The 25,914-nt window shown below is 36.3% G+C and overlaps 1 protein-coding gene across 16 annotated transcripts in view; it reads right to left on the bottom strand.

The window, feature by feature from the left end:
- The window catches only part of SPATA1 (spermatogenesis associated 1), a 60,994-nt gene that overhangs the window by 34,577 nt on the left and 503 nt on the right, over positions 1-25,914 (bottom strand). For all 16 annotated transcript variants that reach the window (XR_007057962.1, XR_007057965.1, XR_007057967.1 and 13 more), the window contains exons 2-6: positions 16,408-16,580; positions 12,112-12,218; positions 10,296-10,413; positions 7,054-7,107; positions 6,730-6,958 (exon numbers count right to left, since the gene is read on the bottom strand). Coding sequence is in view for 12 of the 16 variants with exons in the window: in XM_011542514.3 (XP_011540816.1) it covers positions 6,730-6,958; positions 7,054-7,107; positions 10,296-10,413; positions 12,112-12,218; positions 16,408-16,509 (610 nt within the window). In the remaining 4 variants the exon portion in view is untranslated. The remainder of the gene's footprint in view (positions 1-6,729; positions 6,959-7,053; positions 7,108-10,295; positions 10,414-12,111; positions 12,219-16,407; positions 16,581-25,914) is intronic.

Here is a 25,914-nt window from a genome sequence, read left to right as displayed (position 1 = left end):
ATAAACGTTTGTTTTTATACATGTACACTATAATCTTATCGTAGATTTCAGAATCCCCATGAACTTTCCTATATAGATATAAGTCAATAGTTTCCAAAGTGAATTTCATGAAATATTTGTTTATGTGAAAAGAAAATTATTTGGTTAATTCAGCTTGGGAAATGTTGAATTAAGCAACATCAAACAGCAACACAACCCCCTACACACACATTCACTCCTATTAAAGGGTTTGTCTCCATGTACAACTAAATCTGCAAGAGCGGGGTAGGTAAGTTGGGGGTTTCCTGAAATATAATTTTTTTTTTTTGAGATAGAGACTTGCTCTGTCGCCCAGGCTGGAGTGCAGTGGTGCAATCTCAGTTCACTGTAGCCTCTGCCTCCCAGGTTCAAGCGATTCTCCTGCCTCAGCCTCCCAAGTAGCTGGGATTACAGGCATGTGCTACCACGCCCAGCGAATTTTTGTATTTTTAGTATAGACAGGGTTTCACCAGGTTGGCAAGGCTTGTCTTGAACTCCTGACCTCAGGTGATATGCCCACCTTGGCCTCCCAAAGTGCTGAAATTACAGGCATAAGCCACTGCGTTCGGCCTTAATTGTCTTTACAAACCGTTTGCCAAAGCAGTTTTTGAAACAGTGCTCTGAGGAACCTTCTCTGGAAAATGCTGGTATAAATACAGAACATAAAATGTCATTTTTTATTTCACATACATTTTCATTGATAAAATCTCCCTTCATTTTAACAAAATTTCTCAATATAGGAAAACTAAACAATCCATCTTTGAAATATTAACACTAATGTTCCACATGGTCTATATAAACAAAAGATACACGAACCTGGCAGTATTAATTCAGATTTTTTTCCCTTGGAGAAATCAATTTTTTTAATTCATAAAAGAATAAGTGAGCCAAATTAATATTTGAAAAGTCATTTTACAAGAGTTGTTGCTGGGCATGGTGGCTTATGCCTGTAAACCCAGCACTGTGGGAGGCTGGGCAGGAGGATAGCTTGAGCCCAGTAGTTCAAGACCAGCCTGGGCAATATCTCTAGAAAAATAAAATAAATTAGCCAGGCATGGTGGTGCATGCCTGTGTTCCCAGCTACTTGGGAGACTAGGGTGGGAGGATGTCTTGATCCTGGAAGGTTGAGGCTGTAGTGAGCCATGATCACCCTGCTGTTCTCCAGCCTGGGCATCAGAGCAAGACCCTGTCTCAAAAAAAAAAAAAAAAAAAAAGACTTGCCAAACTATTGTGCAACCTGGAGCCCATACTGATTTTTGTTTGGCTGCTACAATTTATTTCCCACCTGGTATTGAAATTGTCACTTAAGAACAACAAACAGAGGCTGGGTATGGCGGCTCATGTCTGTAATCCCAGGACTTTGGGAGGCCGAGGCGGGTGGATCACTTGAGGTCAGAAGTTCAAGATCAGCCTGGCCAACATGGTAAAACCCTGTCTCTACTAAAAATATAAAAATTAGCCAGGTGTGGTGGCACGTGCCTGTAATCCCAGCTACTCGGGAGGCTGGGGCAGGAGAATAGCTTGAATCCAGGAGGCAGACACTGCAGTGAGCCGAGATTGTGCCACTGCTCTCCAGCCTGGTCTGGAGAGAGACCCTGTCTCAAACAAAACAAGGCAAAACAAAACAAAAAAACAGATTGTCTAAAAGATCTATATAATGCAAAATGAATAAAAAATGGACGTACCAGCTGTGTAAAAGCTAATAGTAAACTACAACTCTCCCTACCCACCCATAAAAAGAAACAATAATGTAGAACTCAGTGTTTTGAGAACTCCAACAAATATATGTTTAAAATATGATAGAGTCACAGAAAAGGGAGTGATAACTGTGAAACTAAGTTTTGAACTATGAGCTGTTTGGTGACAAATAAGGGAGTAGGAGGAATTTAAGCAAAGAATACGGTATGTACAAGGAGCAGAATACTAATAATGTGTGAAGCATTTTTATCCATAATGAAAAGATCAGTATGATTCTAGCGCAGTGTTATAAAGCATGGGCTTTAGTCAAACACAAAAGAGCTCAAGTCCTGGCATGGCCATAACATGTATGACTTCAGTTAAGTTATTTCTCTAACTTCTCTTTCCTTATCTCTAAAATGGCATAATGCATGTAAAGTACCTGGCACACTGTCCAATCCTGAGAAGTTTCTTGACTTTAAGTTCTGATTTATATCCCATTGCCATTTTCCTAGTCCCTAAGTCTATTTTCCATCTTGTCACCTAAGCTGTTTTTCTAGAACTAAAATCCAATCATGCCAAGTTAAAAACTTCAGATTGCTTCCCATTACCTACTAAACTCTTCAGCTTTGCAAGCAAGGCTCTTGTAGTTCAAGTCGCTACCTACCTCTCCAGAAGTACCAGTTCATAGTACTTCTCTCCCTCCCTTTCCTAACCTCATGCTATTAAATAGTAGTATTACTACTAATAATAATAGATAAAAATTACTGAACTAACCCCACCATTAAGTAAATCCTGAAAGCTTCATTCATATCACGATCTCTGAGAAGGAGGCCTTCTGGAGATAGGTACTAAACAATCTGCATGGCCATACACTGTAGCCCTGGATTTGAAGAGTTCTCTATGCTACCTTAAGAATCTTAGGCTCGGCCAGGCGCGGTGGCTCATGACTGCAATCCTAGCACTTTGGGAGGCCGAGGTGGGTGGACTGCCTGTCCCAGGCGGGCGGATTGCCTGAGCTCAGGAGTTTGAGACTGGCCTGGGCAACACGGTGAAACCCCGTCTCTACTAAAACACAAAAAAATTAGCCGGGCATGGCTGCGTGTGCCTGTAGTCCCAGCTACTCGGGAGGCTGAGGCAGGAGAATTGCCTGAACCCAGGAGGCGGAAGTTGCAGTGAGGCGAGATTGTGCCACTGCACTCCAGCCTGGGTGACAGAGCGAGACTCGGTCTCCAAAAAAAAAAAAAAAGAGTTTAGGCTTCAGCCGGGCGCAGTCACTCATGCCTGTAATCCCTACACTTTGGGAGGCCGAGGCGGGTGGATCACCTGAGGTCAGGAGTCCATCTCTGCTAAACATACAAAAATTAGCTGGGTGTGGTGGCAGGCACCTGTAATTCCAGCTATCGGAAGGCTGAGGAGAATTGCTGAAACCCGGGAGGCGGAGGTTGCAGTGAGCCGAGATCGCACCACTGCACTGCAGCCTGGCAACAGAGCGAGACTCCGTCTCAAAAAAAAAAAAAAAAAAAAAAAAGGCATATTACCTGCATTCTTCCCAAACTTTATTATTTATTATAAATTTATTCTCTAAAATGTCACGTTTCAGAAGGGATAGCATCTGTTATCATTTTTGTACCATTACAGTTACTAAGAACACAGTAATTGATTATATATTATTTACTCATTGATGTTAAGACAGTTATTAATTTTCAACAAATATTTATTCAGGACTGTGGTCTAGGCACTGTGTTTGACTCTGAGTAAGTAGCAATAAATCCTTGTCCTAAAAAGATTTTATAATATTTATAAAAATTTTTAAAAACTGGATTTCTTTCCAACAAAATGACAAACCACAGAGGAAATAAAAGTTCAAACCAAAACTATCGAAAAGAATTACTTATATTTGTTTGTGTGGTGATTTACAGATACAAAGCAGTTTCACATATGATATCCAATTTTGAACCTCACAATAAAGAATAATAATATTGAATGGGAAATCACCCTGCCAGATATATAAAAAATATTAATGTCAGTACTAGTTCAGAAAATGGATAAAGTCTGAAAGTGGTCATGTATGTATAAGAATATATATATGAAAAAATATATATATAGTGTGGTAAAGGTGCCATTTGAAATCAGTGGGGAGGGAATGAATGATATTTTGGGATAACTGGAAATGCATTTGGAGGAAATCTATACTACCTCACTCTTTATTTTTTCCAAAATGTGGAGCAGAGAAACAAGGAGACAGAAAATATATGACATAATGGCAAGATTATGGTTCAACAGGAACTTCTAGACATTGCTGCTGGGTACTACCGCTTTGGAAAACACATGGATGTTGTTTAGTGAAGTTGAACATGTACGTGAACATGAACAATGAACAATGCCAATTCTCTTGCACATGCACATTTAGGACTTGTGTACAAAAATGTACATAACAGGATATTTGTAATAGTCCCAAGCTGCAAACAAACCAAATGTCCATCAGCCATAGAATAGACAAATAAATTGTAATGTAAATAAATTGTGTGAGTATAAAATGGAATAGCACAACAATGAAAATAAATAGGTATGGTTGACTCTTACAATGTTGAGTAAGAGAAGTGAGTCCAAAATGATATACATAAATAAAATTCAAAACAGACATAACTAAACTATATTATCAGGGATATATATCTCAGTTGTGAAACTACAAGGAATTCCTATGATCAAAAGAATCATAGAGTAAAAAGACAAACCACAAATTAAAGTTAAGAAAATAATTCAAAATAAGTACTACTACCAGCAATAAAGAGAAACATTACATGATATAGGGGTCAGTTTATCAAGAAGACATAATAATCCTAAATGTGCATGCACCTAATAACAGAGCTTCAAAATACAGAAGGCAAAAGTAAAGCAAGAAAACAATTACCACAAATATCAAAGTAGTAGTTATCTCTACTGGAGAAGGAAGAAGTGTGACCAGAGAAAAACATACAAGGTTTATAAGGTTGTTACCTTAGAAACAGCAGTTAAATTTCTAAAAATAATAATAGGACAAATGCATGAAACTGCATTTAGAAAAATGTTGCTCTGGCCTGGAGCGGTGGCTCACGCCTGTAATCCTAGCACTTTGAGAGGCCAAGGTGGGTGGATTACCTGAGGTCAGGAGTTCGAGACCACCCTGGCCAACATGGTGAAACCCTGCCTCTACTAAAAATACAAAAATTAGCTGGACATGGTGGTGTGCACCTGTAGTCCCAGGTACTTAGGGAGGCTGAGGCAGGAGATTTGCTTGAACCTGGGAGGCAGAGGCTGCAGTGAGCCGAGATTGTGCCACTGCACTCCAGCCTGGGCAACAGAGCGAGACTCCATCTCAAAAAGAAAAAAAAATGTTGCTCATTGCACTATACATGATAGCAAAAACATTAATAAAGGGTTGGGGAAGTAAATTATGACACAGGGAATTCTATAATGACACAGATCTATATTTATTAATATGAAATGTTTATATTTTAATATAAGAGGCTTTAAGAGTCTGTATGTGTCTTCATTTCTGAAAAGTAAAAATATATTTTATATATAAGAACTAAAAAATAATAACTGGAAGAATATACATCAGAATTCTAAGTAGTAGTAATCTCTGAGTAGTAAAATTATTGTCAGTCTTTATTTTCTTCTTTACATTTATTAGTAAAAGTATACTTTATACTTATTTTCTTCCTAATACTTACTGATGTTTCTAGAACTTTTAAAAATGAACACACACTGGCCTCTCATTTAAAGCATATAAATAAAGCTGACTACAGTCTAAGAATCAATAGGAAAAAAATTAGTTTAACTTTTAACTTTTTTACCATATTACATTAAAAAATAAACTGTGAAGGAAAAGCAGATATACTAAACATTTACAAATGAAATGCATCCCCCAGATGTTGACTAAAGACAACATCTATTAAAGCTGTAGAATATAGTAGTTCTTAATCAGTTACATTTCTTGTATTCTAAATTTATTCTAAACCCAACAATGTTCCAAAGTTAGTACCTGCTTTCATCTTAGGTGCATTTAATATTTACTGTTTATTACTTGACACCCGTTAGATGCTCAGTGAGTTTAATTTTTATTTAAACATTTTAAATTACCTATCTTTTTTTCCTATTGATTCTTAGACTGTAGTTAGCTTTATTTATGTATTTATGAGTTTAATTTTTATTTAAACATTTTAAATTACCTATCTTTTTTTTTTTTTTTTTTTTTGAGACAAAGTCTCGCTCTGTCACCCAGACTGGAGGGTGATGGTGCCATCTCAGCTCACTGCAACCTCCCCGTCCCTGGCTCAAGCAATCCTCCTGCTTCAGTCTCCTGAGTAGCTGGGACTACAGGCATGTGCCACCAGACCTGGCTAACTTTTGTGTTTTTTCGTAGAGACAGGGTCTTGCCATGTTGCCCAAGCTGGTCTCAAACTCCTGGGCTCAAATGATCCACCCACCTTGGCCTCCTAAAATGCTTATTACAGATATAAGCCACCACTCCTGGCCCCTATCACTTTTGAAGAATTGAGTTATTAGTAATTATTAGTAAATTGATAGGTGTAATCAGATAAAAAATTTAAAATTCTCTGAAATACGTATGTTCCCCAACATTAAAGTTTTTTTGTTGTTGTTGTCTGTCTTGGTTTGATACTGTTTTCCTGATCCCTCTGGTCTCTGAGTAATACCAAAGTTTTATGCAGTCACCTTTCCTTTCTCTTCCCCTGTAGCTTTACTTTTATCTAAAACTATTTTATTAAAAAAGAAGTAAAGGTGGTAATGTTCATTTAAGTGCTGTAACTATTTTGATTTTGTTTTTATTTTAACATAGTACTTAAATTGTTTTCTTTTCCTCCCATCTGGCAAAAATATTTTTTTAGAAATCCCCAAGTGGAATTGTAGCTTTCTTTTTAAACTGCCTATATTTGTAAGGCTAGGTTTGCTCAGGGTTTGCTTACAGACTTGACTGCTAAAATGTACTATAATAGCCTCTTTCTTTTTCCCATTCCAGTTTAAAATCACCTTCTTCCTGATTCTTGTTAGGAAGCTCTTTCAAAGTGTTTTCTAACAAACTGGGATCTCTTCCAAGTTCCTCCTTGAACAAAGTTACACTAATTGGTCTGTGGATTGTTCCATCAGCCTCATTAACACCATTATTAGTCTGCCGCTCATCTAAAATAACTGTTGATGGTGAATAAACATTTCCTAAATGGTCCATTACAGGAAGCAAATATAATTCTGGTTGAAGAGCCTAAAACATATAGGAAATTTTAAAAGTTAGTTTGCAATTAAAAGCAGTGCTCTAAGTTAAAAATTAGCATAAGTTTAAAATGTCACATTACATACATATGGAGGAGCAAATGATTTGAGTTTCAGTTCTGATTCTTGCTTTTCCTTCACCTAGAAATAAGTAGTGAGAAAAAAATTAAAGCTTTTGCTACATTTTTTTCAATTATTTTTACCTCTACTTTTTTTGCAGAAGGCATGTATTTGTGGCAAATATAAAAATCAAATTTAAAAGCTATGGCTAGATTCTAGAAATGTAGAATATAATGTTACTTTTATTCACTGTATCAAACATAATAGAAATTCTATTCATTTATTAATAATAACTATGCCTATCACTTAAATGGACTTACTATGTCCCTGGCACTATTTTAAGTGCTTTACACTTAGTAAAGATTGTATACCTAGGAAATTTCCAAGTTGGGATTCAAAACCAGGTCATCTGACCCCAAAGTCCAACTTAGTAAACTTTATTTTATTTCCTACATATTCAACCCATAGAGTTCATTTGTTATTTATCTATTTATTTAACAAATATTGGGGGACTGGGCGTGGTGACTCACGCCTGTAATCTCAGCACTTCGGGAGGCCAAGTTGGGCAGATTACTTGAGGTCAGGAGTTCGAGGCCAGCCTGGCCAACATGGTGAAACCCCATCTCTACTAAAAATATAAAAATTAGCCAGGTGTGGTGGCTCCCCCAGCTACTCGGGAGGCTGAGGCAGGAGAATCGCTTGAACCTGGGAGGTGGAGGCTGCAGTGAGCTGAGAGTGCACCACTGCACTCCAGCCTGGGCAACAGAGGGAGACTCTGTCTCAAAAACAAAACAAAACAAAACAAAACACAAATACTGAGGGCATACTATCTGTCAGGCAGTGTTCTACATGGTATGGATACAATGATAAATAAGGCAAAATCTCTGCTTTCATGGAGGTTATATTCTACTTGGGAAACCAGATATTAAATAAATAAATAAACTCAATTTAGGATGGTGATACATGTTTTATGAAAAGAAAACAGAGTGATGTAATAAAGAGTAACTTGAAGAAAGGTCAGGGAAGGCCTGTTAGAAAAGATAATACTTGAGCTAAGTCCTGAATTATGAAAAGAAACAGCCAGCTATGTGAAAATCAGGGAGAAGTGATTTCTAGGCAAGTGCAAGGACCAAAAATCAGAAATGAGTCTGCCATATTTGAGAACCAAAGGAAGATTTTTTTAGCTGAAGTATGAAACCAAGGAGAAAATGGTCATAGATAAAATTTGAGAGGCAGCTTGTTCCTTAGGCCCTTATTATCTCTTGCCTGAACCACTGTAAAACTTTCTTACTGAAATTCCTGCCTCCTCACTTCAATCCATCCTTCTCAGTGAGGCCCAATTAATTTTACTGAAGGCTCTAATCATGTCACTCTTAGTCAAAAACTCATGGTTTCATGAAAAAATCCAAACTACTAATCTGGCATTGAAGACCTTCAACAAACGACTTTACAACTTGCTCTCCACTATTTCCTTTCATGTAGTCAATGCTCCATTAAAAAAATGTACCATTTATTATTTCTGAGTTGTCTGCATTTCTACTTCTGTGCTTAACCTATTTTCTCTGCTCAGAAAGCTTTTCTCACCTTTCATCTTTGCAAGAACAAATATTTTTCTTTTAGGATCCAAATTGAAATATTGCTTCTTTCTCAAAGTTTTCTACTTACCCTCTTCCCCTGCTGGAAGTAATCTCCTTTTCTTTTGAATATATAAAATATGATATTTTATTTATTTATTTTATATATTTTAATCTTCATCACTACACTGAGCACTCTTTGAGGGCAAGATCTATATCTAGTTCTTTTTCTAGTTTTGTATATAGAAAAACATTAATAAATATCTGTTTAAAATAATAAAATATTAGAAGGATTTTAGAAATTGACCTAAATTACTTAGAAAGTCCCTTCCAATCTGGGATTCTATGACTGATATTTTGTACATTTACATACCATGAAAAGAACAAAAAATTATGAGAGTTGTTCATTTTCTTGCCTGCTTGAGGAAAGCTGACTTAATGATCAGTAAATTAATATTAATATGCCAAAAGTTGTACCAAATAGAACTCTGATAACCAAAACCTCTTCAAATTTAACTACCGATCCCAAGAATCTCACACAGCAAATTATAGTAGTACTTTGGAAGAAAATGCCTATTTTTTCCATTATCATTCATGTTTTAATTTGTTCAGTGAACATTTAAACACCTCTAGTGCAAAGCACCTTGTTAGGCACTGGTTATAAATACAATGATGAATAAAATGAAGTCCCTCCCCACAAGGACCTATAATCTAATGGTAGAGTTAGATGTTAAGCAAATATTCACATAAACACATAATAATGATATAATCTGTTAATGAGAGTGAAATAAGAATATGCTGCATTTTAAAGAGTTTAAATATAGAAAATCTTGATTAAGGAAATAAAATTTATGTAGATATGAGAGACCAGAACCTTTGAGATCTGATGGCTTGTTAGATTTGAAACTTAAGCTAGGAATACTCTCTACTTAGAGTATCCTGCCCACTAAGTCATAGAAACTACAAATAGGAGTGTTCAGTAAATAATAGTTGACACCAGTCAGGCAAGGTGGCTCATGCTTGTAATCCCAGGACTTTGGGAGGCTGAGGCAGGGAGATCACCTGAAGTCAGGAATTTGAGACCAGTCTGGCCAACATGGTGAAACTCTGTCTCTACTAAAAATACAAAACTTAGCCGGGCGTGGTGTCGCATGCCTGTAATCCCAGCTACTCGGGAGGCAGGAGAATTGCTTGAACCTGAGGGGTGGAGGTTGCAGTGAGCCAAGATCACACTACAGCACTCTAGCCAGGGTGACAGAGCAAGACTCCGTCTCGGAAAAAAAAAAAAAAAGTTGACACCAAAAAAATATGTTGGAGCCATATCATTTTCACATCAAATGAGTCTAGTTGTGGCACAAGTGATGAGAACCCCATTTTTTCCCAGAACTCAAGTACCTGTTTAAAACACTTAAAAACTTTCATTTAAATTCAAGAACTTATATGATCACATTTTAAATTGGTATTTCTTTGCTTTGCAAGGAAATTCACACACAAAACCCATCATTTTCATGCCCAATAACATGCCTATGCAACTTATCTTTGTTGATCTGTATGTTTAATGATATTTCCATTTCATTTTGATTGAGATTACATATCTAATAATATCTTAAGGAGCTGAGTTGATAAGCATTTAAGAAATGTAATTTGAGAAGGTATGGTCTTTCTCAATCAGAAAGAAAAAAAAAGAAAACTTACCACAGCTAAATTATTTCCAATGCATTTCAGAAATAAAAATTTTTCTGCAATAGCATCTTCACCCAGGAACTCACCAAGACGCTCCCTCAGGGCTCGTAAAGTAAGTTGAGGAGATACTCTGAAATATTATAAAATTGCCTTATAATATAAAATGAAATAGATTTTGGATATACTAATGATTCAATAACTTTAGTCAGCTATCTCAAACACAAAGGTTGATTTAATGTGTCAGATATAGCTTAACATATTATGTTTCCACATTGCCGGCATTTTGTAGGTCTTCCATAAATAGCTCTTAAAATAAATAATTAAAAGTCTGCCTTTAAAATTATGCAAATAAACACTGTTTATAAATGTTTTGTACTGAAAAGGAAAACAACTGTCTCTTTGCTAATTTACTTCCAAATTTTATTGTTAAAATTTGCTGTGGAATAGATGTACTTTTATACATATACCAATGAATGATTTAGCCACAGATATTTATTTTGGAAGTTTGGCAGGAGTAGCTAGTGCTTAAAAATTTTTTAAATAATCTAACATTGTCAGAGTCCACATCTTTGCTTATTAGGGATACTTTGCTCCTGAATATCTAAAATTTAAAGCCATCACTTACGCTATCATCTGAGTTCTTGTTTTTCTGGGACCTTATGAGAAATATTAGGTAATTCATTCAATCAACACATATTTATTGAGCATCTACTATGTGTCAGACATTGTTCCAAGGGATGTGAATATGGCAGTCAACAAAATAAAAATCTCTGCCCTCATGGACTTTACATATAATCTAGTGGTGGGATAGAAAAATTAATGAAGTAAATAAGTAAAAAAATGTAATTCATAAGACACTACTAAGTACCACAGAGAAAAATAAGGCAGGGAAGGGAGAAAGGGACTGTATGAATGATTTAAAATACAGTGATTAGAGAATATCCACAGAAAAAGGTAATATGTGAGTAAAGACCTGAAGGAGATGGGAGAGCATATGGTTAGGGCAGAAAACTCATTCTAGACAAAAGGAACAGAAAGTACAAGGGTCCTGAGGTAGGGCTATGTGTTCCAGAACAGAAAGGAGGCTGATGTGGTTGAAGAAAGAGATGATGAAGATTAGAAAGAGAGGTATGCGTAAGGAGTAACAACAGGCAGTCAGATCACATGGTATTATGTGTCTTTTTGTGAATTTGAAAATACACATCTACATACATATAAACACATGTTCTTTGTTTATATTTTTAAACAGGTCAGAGAAAGAGGCGTTGTAGATATATTGCTTTAACTGCTATTCTCAGATCAGCAGTTTTCCCTCCCTCCCTCCCTTCCTTCCGTTCTTCTTTCCTTCCTTCCTTCCTTCTTCTCTCTCCCTCTTTCTTTTTCCCTCTTTCTCTCTCTCTTTTTTGTTTTTGGCAGAGTCTCACTCTGTTGCCCAGACTAGAGTGCAGTGCTGCAATCATGGCTCACTGCAGCCTTGACTTCTGGGCCTCAAAGAAATCCTCCCACCTTAGCCTCCTGAGTAGTTTAGCAGATTTTTAATTTTAGATAACTTCTCTCTTAATTCACTTTGTGTATAACCATAATAATACACAGGTTATATACTGTTTTCTGGGTGGTAGTATTATGGCCAAGTGAGCTATTCCTACAGAACTGATTCAATTGTTACATAGCACTATATATTGATAGTATTCATTAAGTCAGGAAATGGATCTATCACGTGGACAAAATATTTTTCACTTATAGTTTTTAAATTTCCAAAAAGCATTTTTCTCTGAAGAAAACAGATTCTTCTTTCAGGCATATTGTTACATGACTACACAACACTTGCCTTAGAAATCCAGCTGAAATGAATTTGTTAACAACTTCTGTTGAAATGGTATTTAGCTTATAGTTCCATGATCCTTCAGGGACATAAAAAACATGAAGTTCCACCAACTGAATAAATTGAGAAGAACATCGGTTAAAATATTTTTAAAGTGAAAAAAAAAATCAATTGATGTCCTATAGAATTAAGTTTAATAAACACAATAGAAAAAAAACATGGAATACATACATCCCTCTGAACAAACAAAAACCAAAATGAACTAAAAATTTGTTCTTAAGTTGGCCACTTGGCACTTGGAGTACATTTTCCCTTGGCAACAATGTTATAGATGTGGCTATGAGATTAGCTCAACATCTTTGGCATATGGTGTTTTTTTCTGTGGCCTGCAGTAAGAATCCTAGGGCACCAAGACTAGTTTTCTTAACATCAACTTTACCTCACCTCACTCCCCACCTACTCAGTTCCATTGGGGTGATCCCCTGTGGAATCTTTATCCTTTGTATATTTTCTCCCTATTACAGTTCTGATGATTGCTAGCCCTCAGCACCTGCAAAAAGTTTAATACTGTGGTTTGGGGAATGTACTTATTCCCCAGAATTCCAGGAAGAACCTATTCCTGACCAATGAGAAAGGAATGATTGTTCTTACATTGGGCATGTCTATGCTTCTATGTAACTATCCACTTTTCCACTGATGTTTTGTTATGACCTTGATTAGAATCCTTCTATTTAGAAGAATATTTATATAACCACAACAGAAACAATGATTGCAAATATAGTCTTATCTTTTAGTCAAATTAAGTTTGATACTCCCTGCATATTAAAAGTCAAAGCATTTAAATGAATATTCTCGAATGCAATATTAAATATCTGAGAAACCTTTAAAAGTTTGAATATGACCTACTGTTAATATTAGTAATTTCATAGGAGATAAAAATAGTTCCTGAGCATAAGGTTTTCTTCAAGTTGTTTTTATAAATCAAGAAAATTACTTCTATGCTTTTGATGATGATTATTAACTAACAATTTAAAATGTCTGTATAGATCTGACAGTGAAGTTTTCTATACGTTGCATTTTGAACACTAGAGCACTTAAAAGATTAACCCCTAGCTATACTATTAAATATTTGCAAAACCTTAAGAAATTTGAAGTAAATATGACCTTATCTTTATATAAATGTATTAATATTTTACAGGAGGAAACTGTTTCTTGAACTAAATATTTATATATATGCTTCTTAAAAAAGACATTTTAATGGCTTTTTTCCAGAACAACAAAGTAGTTGAAAAAATACTGAAAAATTTTAAAGTACATATTAAATCTGACAATATTATTTTAAGGTTAAATATTCTATTTACACTCAAACGCTAATTTATTATAATCTTACCTTCCTGACTTTAATGGAAGCTACTCATCAATAACATTTTCATTAAAACCATTAGCTATTTTAAAAATACATTACAAGGTATGGCACATACTTTTTCTTTTGTCCCAAGTTTCAAAATGATTAGAGATGGCACTGTTGGATCCTGTCTCTATTTAAAATATGGATATCTTGTTCATCATGGATTTTTTTTGCATTAATTTTACTAAAAAAATTTTTTGGTAGCCCCTTAAATTTTTCATCTGTGGCAAGTACCTCATTTGCCTCAGACTAGTCCTGGCTCTGTGAGAAATATAGCCAACAAACAATAAATACTGACTTCTAAGAAGTACAATTTTTAAAATTTTTTAAAAATTAAAAAACAATAAACATAAAACACTAATAGGTAACATACTATATTATAAAGTGGTAATTGCTAGGAAAAAATAATAAGTAGGGCAGGGTAAAGAAGAATGGGAAGATATGGGATGGAGAAGTTTTCAGTTTTAAATAGTCAGGGTAGGTCTCATGGAAAAGGTGAGATCTGAGTAAAGACCTAAGGGAAAAGAAGGAATTAGCCAAGTGAAGATCTAGAGGGAAAGAGTTCCAGAAAGAGATAAAATAAAGGTATTAAGGTGAGAGCATGCCAGTATGATTGAAGCAGAGAGAGTAGGGGAGAGGGTAGAAGATAAGTTCAGAAAAATAAGGAGGTAGAGGGGAAACATACAGCACCTTCTGGGCCATTTTCACCTACAAAATGGGAAGCTAATGCATGGTTTTAAGAGAAACATTAAGATCTGACATATATTTTTATTTAATATGAAAAATTTTAAACATACATATAAATAAAAAGAGTAATTCTCTCCCTCTGAATAAAATATTCAAAGTAAACAGGACATCATGACACTATATCCCTAAATTATTTGGCATCCATATTCTAAAAATAAGGACCTCTGTAACATAATCACAATTTCATTTTCACATCTAAAAAAATTAAAATTCCTTAATGTCAATTAATATCCAGTCCATATTTAAATTTTCCCAATTGTCCTCGAAATATTTTCTTAATCTGGAATTCAAACAAGGATCACACAATGCATTTGGTTGTTACGTTTTTTAAAACTTTCATCTTGAAGAGTTCCCAAACCTATTTTTTTGCTTTTTATTTTTAACATGGCATTGACTTTTTAAAAGATATTGGGTCAGTTGTCTTATAGAATGTTCTACATTCTGAATATACTTCATTATCTCTAAGGTGTCATTTAACTTGTTTCTCCAACCTCTTATCTCCTGTAAACAGTTAACTATATAGCCTTCAAGGGACACAGGTTACTACTTGCGGCAATAATATTTCATAAGTGGTGTCCTGTATTTTATATTGCATTATATCAGGATATACATAATGCTTTACTTAATTAGTTGAGTGATGGGAATCATAGCTAGAACAGACTATAAGAGGCAAGAAAAGAGAACTTGTTATGAAGCTACTGGAATAATTACAGTCTGAGACAATGGTGACTCACGTGCTAGCAGTAAAGGTTATTAAAAAGTAGTCAGATTTTGTATATATTTAAAAGCTGGAGTCAATCCCTTGGAAGTGGAGTTTAAGAGTCAAGTAGAAGAGTCAGAGTCAATCTATTGGAAGTGGAGTTTGAAAGAAGAGTCAAGTAGAAGACTCAAGTATGCAAGAAGAATCAAGTATAACTCCAAGGCATTTGGCCTCAGATACTTAAAGGATAGATTTGACATCACCTGAGATGGCAAAAGTCATGGGTAGTGCAAGTTTTAGGGAAGGGAAAAAAATCCAGTTTCAGACATATTAAGATGAGATATCTATTGGCCATCCAAGTGGCGATGTCAGTTAGTCAGTTGAATATAGGCCTACGTGAATCTGGAATTTGGGAAAGAGGACTGAGATGAGGCTATAAATTTGGAAATCCTTGGCATAAAGTTGGTATTTAAATCTGTTAGACTAGATGAGATCACCAAGGAATGAGCGCAGGTAGAGAAGAGAACAAAGAGCTGAACCCTGATGTATGCCAAAATTAAGAGGTCAGGAGGAAGATGAAGGCCCAGTAAAGATGACTGAGAATGAACAACCAGGGAGGTAAGAAGAAAACAAACATAATATGTATGCTAGAAGCCTAGCGAAGCCTATGTCAAGGAAGAGAAAGTGATTAATGGTGTCAACTGTTGTGCACACATAGATCAAGAATGTTTAGGATAAGAATTAACCAACAGATTTAGTAATGAAAGGTGAATTTAATGAGAATAGTTTTGGTGGAATAATGGAGGTGAAATCTTGACCGCAGTTGGTTTAAGAGAAAATAGAGAGAAGGTATTGGGGGTCTGAGATGGTATGACATACTTGTTTAGAAGAGTGAAAGACTGAATTAATGAGTGGCAGATAGTAAGACTGCCCACCAGAAAAAGATTCCACTTGAAATTCATGGTCATGAATTTAAAGTGAGAATGGTACTTACGATGGTATACATTTTTTTTCTCTAGCCATGTTCAGCTGCTCAGGTGTAGGTACAGAATAGGTGGAGAAATGCATTAACCATGTTTGTTGTTTTGCCAAGCAGCACAATGAAGTGAGAGAGGGGCAAGGAGTCAAAAATATGTGCAAAGGAGTGATCATGACTGCTCTATGGAACTTAAGCTAGATATGGAGGGTACCAACCTCAATCATACAATTGAGAAACAGTGAAAAAGGTGATAGGATCAATGCATTGGGGATCCCAATATGCTTGGGATAGAGGAAGTGAGCTAGAGACACGAGAAGTGTAATCAGGCAATGGGATACATGAAGTTGGGATCATGGTGGAGTCAATATCTAATACTTTATATAATCTATGTTTTTGCTTTTATAAAACTTTTCAAAAACAGTGATAAGCAGGTCTTTCTTATATTTTAGTATAAAAAGATTTTCTTACCTCTGATGAGGAAGGTCGACTTGGATTGAGTGACATATTCACTAATGTCTGAATGGGATAATTATCAATTGGAATTTTGTTTCTTTTTTTATCTTTCTTCATTTAAGTAGTACTAAATAAAAATTATAATAGTTTTTTTTGGCTTAAGATAGCATTCCACTCATTTCTGGTCTCTGATTTGTTCAAGAAATAAAAAGGAAAACACAAAAGCATTAAATAAACTACAAATGAAAACTTAGACATATATACAATCTTTATTATTCTAACTCAAAAGGACATATTACTAGTAAATAGGACTGTGTAATAAAATGAGCATAAATCTATACAACTAAGTAACATGACAAATTACATTATAATGGACTTGTGACCAGGACATATTTTACTATTCTAAATAATTCATCTTTTCTTGGTCAAAAATTAAGGTTAAATATATAGCATTTTACATGAAGTAGAAATACACATTTGGAAGTAGAAAGGCAGAATTTATGATACTTGGTTAGTATCAACTACAAATTCTAAGCATGCCTAAAGTTTTAGTTAGCCTCTTGGCTAGTTAAAATGGCTATAGAATGATGAAAACTGTTATATCATATACATTTCTTCCTGGGCTTTGATGCCTCAATAATAAAAAACGTGAACAATCATTCCAGGTGAAAATGCCAGTCTTTAAATAAATCAGGCTTCATTTGTGTATTATTTCCAGTGTTTTTCCTCAGGATTTATGGCAGTTTACAAGAATGTATGATACAATTAAAAATATATAATGTATATAAGAAAAACTAAAAAATAAGGTAGCTGAATTATTACTCTAACAGGAATTATCAAAGCAGGATAATTCTTAAGGATACATTAATCATACCAACACAAGAGCTGAAGCTCTTCTAGATTTCAAAGCATTGCTCTTCCTTGATTTATGTTAAAATAAGGATTTAAATCCAACAAAACTTAAAATTCCTCTGATCTGGAACTGATTACAGCTCTACAAAACCCTAACAAGTACCACTAATTGTTTTAATAGTATCAAAATTAAAAGATTATTTCCTGAAATATACAGTCTCCTTAAATTAGTTTTACACATTACTTTCCATATTTCTTACAATAATTAAAACTTAGAATGTGATTTGCCATTTTGACCATGTCTTAAGTACACATTAGTACTTTAAGAAAGTATTTATATATCTATCCAAAAACTCTGTATGCCATTGTATTAATATTAGCCTCTATTATGAACCTAAGTGAAAGATGACTCAGATACATATATGGTCACTTCATTATTAGATAAGAATTAGTTAATAATCTATAATAATTATAGCATATGGGCATTCATTGATTCACTGGTATGCAAATTAGTAGGCTAAAAGTTTTAATTTGTTACATATTAAAATGTGATATTTTAATTCAGAACAATTTTTTTTCTTTTTTTTTGAGACAGAGTCTCCCTGTGTTGCCCAGGCTGGAGTGCAGTAGCGCAGTCTTGGCTCACTGCAGCCTCTGCCTCCCAGGTTCAAGCGATTCTCCTGCCTCAGCCTCCCAAGTAGCTGAGATTACAGGCGTGTGCCTCCACTTCCAGTTAATTTTTGTATTTTTAATAGAGACAGGTTTTCACCATGTTGGCCAGGCTGGTCTCAAACCACTGACCTCAAGTGATTCGCCCGTCTCGGCCTCCCAAAGTGCTGGGATTACAGGCATCAGCCACCACTGTGCCCGTCCCAGAACAAATCTTTAATTAAACAAACTCAAGATAGATCAGTCAAGACCTGCTTTATTGTTGTCCTGAGGTAAACCTATACAGGACCCCACTATACAGGTTGAGTATCCGTAATTTTAAAATCTGAAATCTGCAATGCTCAAAAATCTGAAACTATTTGAATGCTGACATGATGCTCCAAAGAAATGCTCATTGGAGCATTTTGGATTTGGATTAGGATTGTTTAACCGATATAATGCAAATATCCCAAAATTTGAAAAAATCTGAAATCTGAAACATTTCAGATTATCCCAAACCTTTTGGATAAGGAATACTCAACCTATAGTATCCCTTCTAAAGTAATGGCAAAGAAGCCATGTTTGGGATTTTAAGAACTCCCTTTATCATTTCTGATGAGACCAATGCTGGAGACCAAATCCTGGGCTGGCTAGAAACAAACAAAATGTTCTGATGTAAAAAGATGAGCCCTTGGGGATTAGACCTGGGAAAAGAGCTCAAGATACAAGCATCAGTAGACATTACTAATAAGAATATAGAAAAGAGAGCCGGGCGTGGTGGCTTGTGCCTATAATCCCAGCACTTTGGGAGGCCGAGAGGGGCGGATTGCCTGAGGTCAGGAGTTTGAGACCAGTCTGGCCAACATGGTGAAACCCCGTCTCTATTAAAAATACAAAAAAAATGAGCCAGGTGTGGTGGTGTGTGCCTGTAATCCCAGCTACTCAAGAGGGTGAGGCAGGGGAATTGCTTGAACCAGGGAGGTGGACGTTGCAGTGAGCCGAGATCGTGCCACTGCACTCCAGCCTGGGTGACAGAGTGAGACTCCGTCTCAAAAAAAAAAAAAAAAATAGAATATAGAAAAGAGAAGTCATCAGTTAGTATCATAGCCATGAGGCAAGCCCATGTTATGGGAAAGCTATACTTATTTATAAAGAGATAGAAAAAGATAAAGAACGGAGAAAATGACTAGGTTAACTGGTAGTGAGAAGCAAACTGAGGAAGTAACATAGCTGATTCATATTTATAACTAAGCACTAGAGAGGAATCAAGAATTCTTGGGGCTGGTCTCTAGCCTTGGATCTACTTCCAGTTTGACCTATTAGCGTGACAGTTTCTGCTTTGGGATTTACAAGGGATATGTGCCTCCACTGCTGCTCTATGTTGCTCTTTACAATAATCTCCTCATTGCTTGTGCTAACTTGAGTAAGCCTTTGCTATTGAAACCATGAGAGGCTAATTAAAACTTTAGGCATGCATGGCTGGCACTGTGGCTCACGCCTGTAATCCCAACACTTTGGGAGGCCGAGGCAGGCAGATCACCTGTGGTCGGGAGTTTGAGACCAGCCTGACCAACATGGAGAAACCCCATCTCTACTAAAAATACAAAATTAGCTGGGCATGGTGGCCCATGCCTGTAATCCCAGCTACTCCGGAGACTGAGGCAGAAGAATTGCCTGAACCCGGGAGACGGAGGGTGCGGAGAGCCGAGATTGCGCCGAGCCGAGATTGTGCCATTGCACTCTAGCCTGGGCAACAAGAGCGAAACTCTGTAACAAAAAACAAAACAAAACAAAACCAAAAAAACTTTAGGCATGCTTAGAATTTGTAGTTGATCCTAACCAAATCATATACTAAATCCTAACATATAACATGTGGGATTTTCACATTTTTTACCTATTACTAATTAGCTAATGAACAAAATGATGCCAACAATTCAAATGAAAGGAGACTGATATCTCAATAACCAAAAATAAAGTGACTATGAAGTTCCTGTCTAATCTTTCATTTACTACATAATTTTGCTTCACAACTCTACTGCCAGGAATGGAAAATCAATTTTATCTTGCATGCTAATTCCCATCAACTGGTACTGACTATCTAAAAGTGAATTACTAAGTAGGATCCCAAGGCTACATCTCAGTAGGAAACAGTACAGAAATGAATTATCACAGTAAACTATGGGTTTGAGAAGGAGTAACTGTTGGTAGATGTATCACCTATCTGCCATCTCTGATCTGGTCCTTCCTTTCAAAATAGCTACCCATCATGTTTTCTCTGCACTTTTCCAAAATGATTTTCAGTGTCAGTAGCAGAGCTGAAAATCAAGCTTAAGAAATTCTGATACTTATTCTGTGTCTAGAAATAAGGATTCTCGTAATTTTTATTTCCTGTCTGATTTGATAATATGGCATACAAAGATTGCTCAATGTACTTTAGAAAATCCTAAATGCTGACATGGGCTATGTTTAAATATACCAATAAAGTAGAATCTCACACAAGGTAATCACATTGATTGGGAGCCAGAAAAGCAGATTTCTAGTCCCTTATAACCTATACAACCATTCGTTGGTCTGAGTGTGAGTTTCTTAGTGGTAAGTGACTTGAACTCTTCAAGATCCTTTGCAGCTCTAAAATGTTTTGATTACTTGATTGCTCAAGGAATGCAACAAGTGAAAGGGAAATTTACATTCTGGAATAAAAAAATCAGAATACAGTTAACTTTATGACAGATGATGGGAGTATTTTTTGACATAATTCCTGATTCTTAAATCACCAAGGCGTGAAGTCTATCTGATCAGGATAAATTCAGATTATGTATATGTCCTGGGAGTTCTGCTTTATCTGGTTCCTGGTTAAGCTGTAAATAAAATTCTCATCAATTTAAAGGTTAACCTGTCTTAGGTAAACAGATTAAAATGCCTGAAATGAGGCCAGGCGCGGTGGCTCACGCCTATAATCCCAGCACTTTGGGAGGCCGAGGCGGGTGGATCCCCTGAGGTCGGGAGTTTGAGACCAGCCTGACCAACTATGGTGAAACCCCACCTCTGATAAAAATACAAAATTGGCCGGGCATGGTGGCCCATGCCTATAATCCTAGCTACTGGGGAGGCTGAGGCAGGAGACTTGCTTGAACCCAGGAGGCAGAGGTTGCAGTGAGCCGAGATCACGCCATTGCACTCTAGCCTGGGCAACAAGAGCAAAACTCTGTCTCAAAAAAAAAAAAAAAAAAAGAAAGAAAGAAAAAAAAAAAAAAAGCCTGAAATGCCTGAGGGCACTCCAGAATCCACAAACATTTATAGTAGTTAGACTTCTAGAACCAATGGAGGAATGAGGTTTGTTTTCTAGACACGTCCTAGTGTTGACAAGAGGGCACTCCAGAATCCACAAACATTTATAGTAGTTAGACTTCTAGAGCCAATTGAGGAATGAGGTTTGTTTTCTAGACACGTCCTAGTGTTGACAAAATGGCATACTTGTCTTGAGTTGAAAAGTTCTCAGGATATATAAGGACATTTTAGGGAGGGGGAGGGTCTCCCAGAGAGTAACAGAATGATATAGAATCAGAATCTATGTTGGAAAAGGAATTATAGAGTTAGGTTTCTTTTACTTTGTAATTTTTGTGGGCATGTAGTAGGTGTATATATTTATGGGTACATGAAATATTTTGATACAGGCATACAATGTGTGAAAAGCACATCAGGGTAAATAGGGTATACATGACCTCAAGCATTTATTGTTTGTTTTACAAAAAATCCAATTATACTCTTATTTTAAAATGTATAATAAATTATTGTTGGCTATAATCACCCTTTTGTGCTATCAAATACTAGATTTTATTCACTTTATCTAACTTATATTTCTGTACCCATTAACCATCCCCAGTCCCCACCCCACTACCCTTCCCAGCCTCTGGTAACCATCATTCTACTATCTCCATGAGTTCAACTGTTTCAATTTTTACTGCCAAATAAGTGAGAACATGTGAGGTTTGTGTTTCTGTGTCTGGCTTTTTCACTTAACATAATGACATCCAGTTCTATCCATGTTGTTGCAAATGAGATGATCTCATTCTTTTTTATGGCGGAACGGTACTCCATTGTTTATTTGTACCACATTTTCTTTACTCATTCATTCATCTGTTGATAGACACTTAGGTTGCTTTTAAATCTTGGCTATTGTGAATAGTGCTGCAGTAAACAAGGGAGTGCTGATACCTCGATATACTGGTTTCTTTTCTTTTGGGTCTATAGCTAGCAGTGGGATTCCTGGGACATACTGAAGCTCTATTTTTAGTTTTTTCTGAGGAACCTCCAAGTTGGTCTCCATAGTGGTGGTACTAATTTACATTCTCACCAACAGTGTACAAGAGTTCCCTTTTCTCCACATCCTCACCAGCATTTGTTATTGTCTATCTTTTGCATAAAAGCCACTTTAATTGGGGAGAGATGATATCTCATTGTAGTTTTGATTTGCATTTCTCCTGATGATCGGTGATGTTGAATACCTTTTCATATACCTGTTTGCCATTTGTAAGTCTTCTTTTGAAAAATGTTTACTCAGCTTTTTTGCCCATTTTTAAAGCGGGTTATTAGATTTTTTTCCTATATAGTTGAGCTCCTTATATATTCTGGTTATAAATCCTTTATCAGATGGATAGTTTGCAAATATTTCTTCCCATTCTGTGAGTTGTCTCTTCACTTTGCTGATTATTTCCTTTGTAATGCAGGTTTTTATTTTTATTTTTTGAGACAGGGCTTCTCTGTTGCCCATGCTGGAGTGCAGTGGCATGATCACAGCTCACTGCAGCCTTGACCTCTGCAGGTTCCCAAGTAGCTGGGACCACAGGTACATGCCACCATGTCCAGCTTTTTGTATTTTTGTCAAGATGGGGTTTTGACTTTGCCATGTTGCCCAGGCTGTTATACAACTCCTGGGTTCGAGAAATCTACCTGCTTCAGCCTCCCAAAGTGCTGGGATTACAAGCGTAAGCCACCGTGCCTGGCCCTGTGCAGGTTTTTAACTTGATGTAATCCCATTCGTTCATTTTTGCTTTGGTTGCCTGTGCTTGTAGGGCATTATTCAAAAAATCTTTACCCAATCCAATGTCCTGGAAAGTTTCTGCACTGTTTTCTTTTCTTTTTTTGAGAGATGGGTCTCACTCTGTCACCCCGGCTGGAGTGCAATGGCGTGATCTCCGCTTACTGCAATCTCTGCCTCCCGGATTCAAGTGATTCTCCTGCCTCAGCTTCCCAAGTAGCTGCGACTACAGGCATGTGCCACTACGCCCAGCTAATTTTTGTATTCTTAGTAGAGACAGGATTTCACTATATGTTGGCCAGGCTGGCCTGAAACTCCTGACCTCAGGTGATCCACCTGCCTCGGCCTCCCAAAGTGCTGGGATTACAGGTGTAAGCCACCATGCCCCAACTCCAATGTTTTCTTATAGACGTTTCATAGTTTGAGGTCTTAGATTTAAGTCTTTAACCCATTTTGATTTGATTTTGGTATACGAGGAGAGAGACATCTAGCTTCATTCTTCTAATACGGATATTCAGTTTTCCCAGCACCATTTATTGGAGGGACTGTCCTTTCTCCAATGTATGTTCTTGGCACCTTCGTAAAAAACGAGTTCACTGTAGGTGAATGAATTTGTTTCTGGGTTCTCTATTCTGTTCTACTGGTCTATGTTTTTTTTTTTTTTATGCCAGTACCATGCTGTTTTGGTTACTATAGCTCTGTTGTATAATTTGAGGTCAGGTAACATGATTCCTCCATTTTTATTCTTTTGGCTCAGGGTAACTTTGGTGACTCTGGGTCTTTTATGGTTCTGTATAAGTTTTAGGATTGTTTTTAATACTTCTGTGAAGAATGTCATTGGTATTTTGATAGAGATTGCACTGAATCTGTAGATTGCTTTGGGTATTAGAGACATTTTAACTATATTGAATCTTCCAATACATGAACATGGAGTATCTTCCCATTTTTTTTGTGTCCTCTTCAATTTCTTGCATCAGTGTTTTATGGTTTTCTTTGTACAGATCTTTAACTTCCTTGGTTAATTCCTAAGTATTTTATTTGTAGCTATTGTATATATTTTTTTCTCCAAACTTCAATTTCCTTAGCCATTATAAAAACAGAATAAGCTCATTCTTTGAGAAAGAAGTCAGAATTGTGAAATCCCCCTTTGAAGAGATTCAGCTTTTAGTTAAAGTACAAAGTACAGCATGTGACTCTTATTTATTCAAATTCTGAATTTAGACCTAGTGAACTAAAGAACTTAGGGTACTAATTAATTGAATACGGTGAAGATCTCAGGTAAATTTAAATTGACAGTGCTCTGCTGACAAAACATAAAGTGACAGATTACTTGGTGGTCTTTTCTTGGCATTTATTGCTAAAAGAATCCTCTTGGTGACAACAGGCCAGTCTTCAACCAACTGAACAGTGAGCATCTATGTCTGTACAGTTGGTAACATGTTTGAAATGTCTTAGATCATTGTGGAAGGTCAAAGAACATCTAAACAAAAGTTTAAGAGATACAGATAGTTCATAAACTATATTTACTGGTAATCACTTCAGATGCAACTGAACTTAAAGTTATCTCAATGGTTTTGTTTTTTTTTTTTTGAGACGGAGTCTCACTCTGTCGCCAGGCTGGAGTGCAGTGGTGCCATCTCGGCTCACTGCAACCTCTGCCTCCCAGGTTCAAGCGAATCTCCTGCATCAAGCCTCCTGGGCAGCTGGGACTCCTGGGTGGCGCGCACCACCACGCCCAGCTAATTTTTGTATTTTTTAGTAGAGACGGTTTCCCCACGTTGGCCAGGATGGTCTCGATCTCTTGACCTCGTGATCTGCTCGCCTCAGCCTGCTAAAGTGCTGGGATTACAGGCGTGAGCCACCATACCAGGCCTCAATGTTTTATTTTTCTTTTGTATCCTAAATAGAATCTTTAAACACACGCTACAAAAAAATAACACCTGGTGTTTGAGACAGCACTCCAGTCTGTGGTTTCCCAATGCAGCAGTTAATAAAAAAGCAACAATTTTTTTTTTTTCTGAAACTGTTTCGGCCTAAAACACTGCTTATTCCTCAACAGTCTCCCTCACAGAAGTAATTATTGGACCATATATTCCCTAAAATCTCTTCCAGCATTAACATACCACGGTTCTAAGAGTTCAGTGATATATTTTACAACTACTGTAAAACAGATCATTCTTTGAATAGATACTTGTGTTTAATCTTACAAATCTGTAAAGTATGAATGACGTTTTAGCATTATACAGTCAACAAAGCACCAAAGGTGAAATAATTACAATACCTTTTGGGAAAAGACAATATTTATTGAGATAGCTTTCACATTCTTTTTACATATAATGTCATTTCATTCCGAAAAACAACTCTACGAAGCTGTATAATTTACTTTGAAATAAGGAAATAAAGCCTCAGTAACTTAAGTGGCTTGCCCAAGAATACCGTAAGTAGCAGAGCCAGAATTCAAACCCTGGTTTTAACCCCAATCATTACATCCGTATGAATTAAGTAAAATGCTAAACTTACGATGTACATTTTTGCGAACTGATATAAACTGTTGAGTAAATAAATTAGATTTTGTTGACCAGTGCAATTACACATGCTTCCCTAATAAAAAATTTGAAATCCATTAATGATAAAATTATTAACATTAATGGAAAACATCAGCGCATTCGGAGATTGACTACCCGAAAAGAAATAGGAAACATCTGCCCTTAGTGCTGTGACATAACACACATATTTCCGTGGATGAAAGAAAGACCTACTGGCTGAGCCTATTTTGTTTGGTTAGACCCTACCCTCTCTCCTAAAAACTCCTTTGGTACTCAATTTCAAGCAGGAGGTAATAAATTACAACGGAAATACTAAAGAGCAAACTTTCCGGAAACACAAAAATAAGTTTTATTTTAAAAAGTACAATAAGCATTAATTCTCCAGAGTAAATGGGTAACCGAGCAGACAGGTGTAATCTTCAGCCAGCACCTTGGCTT

This window comes from Homo sapiens, chromosome 1 (assembly GCF_000001405.40).
Source record: "Homo sapiens chromosome 1, GRCh38.p14 Primary Assembly".
NCBI classification, from domain to species: Eukaryota; Metazoa; Chordata; class Mammalia; order Primates; family Hominidae; genus Homo; species Homo sapiens.
Note: the sequence above shows the minus strand (reverse complement) of the source record. Positions and strands in the feature narration are given on the sequence as shown.